General features: G+C 42.7%; 1 annotated feature.

Annotated features, from left to right (window-relative positions):
- Positions 1755 to 1814: an enhancer, noted in NCBI's record as "active region_16592". NCBI's record gives its function as "activates an Ori minimal core promoter by ATAC-STARR-seq in GM12878 lymphoblastoid cells {active_cell/tissue: GM12878}" and the evidence as "EXISTENCE:reporter gene assay evidence [ECO:0000049][PMID:35858748]".

A 2545-nucleotide genomic window follows, 5' to 3' on the forward strand; every position in this document is an offset into this window, starting at 1 on the left:
TTTTTCTTTTTTGAGACAGGGTCTCACTCTGTCACCCAGGCTGGAGTACAGTGGCACGATCCCAGCTCACTGCAGCCTCCAACTATTGGGCTTAAGCTATCTTCCTGCTGCAACCTCCCAAGTAGATGGGACTACAGGCATGCACCACACTCAGCGAATTTCTTTCGATTTTTCTTTAGAGATGGGGTCTCGCCATGTCACCCAGGCTGGTCTCCAACTCCTGGGCTCAAGCAATTCTTCTGCCTCGGCCTCCCAAAGTGCTGGAATTACAGGTATGAGCCATCGCACTCGGCCCATTTAAGTCTTATAATTACTCTTTGAAGTGGAAACTATTATTATTATCCCCGTTTTACTGGGAGAACAACTATGACTTAGCGATATTAAAAATAGCTAATTATACCATTCGCTAGTAAGTGGCAAAATCCAAATGAAGATAGTCTTCTGATGCAAAGCTGATCAACCACTGAGTCAGTGAGCAAATTCCAACCAAAAGGTCTTTCTGAGAGCAGCCACAGAGGCTTTGGTTTATCCACCTAGTCATGGGAGAAGGAGCCACAGGAAGAAAACAAAATTGTTCAAAGGGAACACAGACATATAAAAAAAAAAGGCAGCCCTGAAGAAAATGTTGAGACAGACCAATTTGAGTGAGTAGTGGGAAAGGGGAAGGAGTAAGAATATGGAGAATGGGAGAAATTAGGGAAGACAGGATGTGTGTTATGAAAAACAAGAAACAAGTTCTGAGAAAAATGCATAATCCACAATGTAAATTGTTGCCAAAGGGGATAACAACTAGAAGGTTATGGGGAACTTTGGGATAATAATGACAAACAAGTAAAACATGCTTATTATGTGTTAGGAACTGTTTTAAGTACTTTACATGAATTAATCATATAATCATCACAGCAAGTTTATTACCCCATTTCACAGAGAGAAGCTGATGCACAGAGAAGCAATGCCCAGCTAAAATAATTAAATGGCAGAAAATTTGCCTGAGATGGCTCTGACACCCTGGGTTCTAGAGTAAGCAAGCCAAAACCTGGTACAGAACTTAAAAGAAAACAAAACTTAATCTCAGCCAATCACAGGCAGGCTAGTGGGCATTAGGTAATATTGTCTTGAACTTCCTGTTAAGATATTCTAAATAAGGCATTTGCTCACACTTTAGCCAATCAGATAATTTATTTTATTTGCTCTTACATTCACCCTATAAAACTTCCCCTCATGTCCCTTTTTAGTGCTATGAACCATTTCTAGTTTTAAGCTGTCTGATTCATGAATTACTATCTGCTCAAATAAACTCTTTATCTTTTAACAGCCAAAAGTCACTCAGATCGTAAGTAGCAGAGCTGTGATACAACCCAGTGAGTCCAATCCAAGTATATATATCCTTCATTGTGCCACAGTTTCAGGAGAATGGCACCTGCACTGACCAGATGATAGCATGTTGACAAATGACTAAATGTTATTATTTTCCCTCTTGCTATCCAGTGGTTAATGGGATAACCTGGCTTAGGGATCTTCCTTTGTTGCCGACTCATTTTTTAAAAAGCCAAGGAGCTGGAGTCCAGCAAGGGTCAGCGTAGTTGTGCTGCAATGACCACACTTTAGTTTCTGTGGCTCTGGGGACTGACTGCTGGACTCTTTTGACAAGTGAACCAAAGCCTTAAAGGTCAGGACCAGTGTTTCTCTGGGAGTTGCTTAACTCCCTCTCCCCTTTTTTCCTGATGTATTTTCCTTCAAAATAGCAGAGAAGCCAAGTAGACCCACATATTTGGTAAGAAGGAGAAGAGAGGATGCTGGTGAAGAACAGGAGTCTGAGTCGGTGCTAAACAAGAGGAGATCCCAGTGTCAATTACAAGGGCCTTTTTCATTATGAGTCAGGCCTTTGCTACTTGATTTGAGGCACAGTACATAGAGGTTTAGGGTTAACCCTACCTAACCACAGAGAGGCAGCTGCTGGAACCAATGAAAAAGAATGATTGCAAACAACACTCACCAATCATTTGTCTCCACAAGAAGACCCTCTTAGTCATTCCTTACTGTTCCTATTCATTAATTCCTTTGAGAAGGGCCATTGCTTGTGAGCTTTGGTTGAAAAGCTCAGCATTTTTCCTGAGAGGAATTCTACGTTACCCCATTAGCTGGAGCAAAGTGGAAGTGAGGTCATCCTGGAGGCCCCAAAAGGGGTCTGGTTCTGGGGAGGAACTGAGCTTGATTTGAATAACTGCTTTTGCCAGCTCAGCCCCAAAGCCTCAAATTTCTCATCTCTTATGTTGCTGAATTTATGGCTTCTACAGCCTCCCCGACTTGCTCTCTCCTTAAGAGCCCACATTTTTCTGCCTTCACCATTTTATTGAAGAGCTGTTTGCCAAGATTCCCAATGATGGAGTCCAGGTACCAAGAGGAGGATGGGAGACCAGGCAGGGGAGCCTCAGTTACTGCCCTCCCCTTGTGGGGAGTGGGTTGTGTGTGGAGAGACACTGGTCCTTCAAATAAGAGTTGGAAGAACTGAAAGCAATGCTGTATATATCAGTGGTTCCCAAAC

Source organism: Homo sapiens, chromosome 2, assembly GCF_000001405.40.
Source record: "Homo sapiens chromosome 2, GRCh38.p14 Primary Assembly".
NCBI lineage: Eukaryota > Metazoa > Chordata > Mammalia > Primates > Hominidae > Homo > Homo sapiens.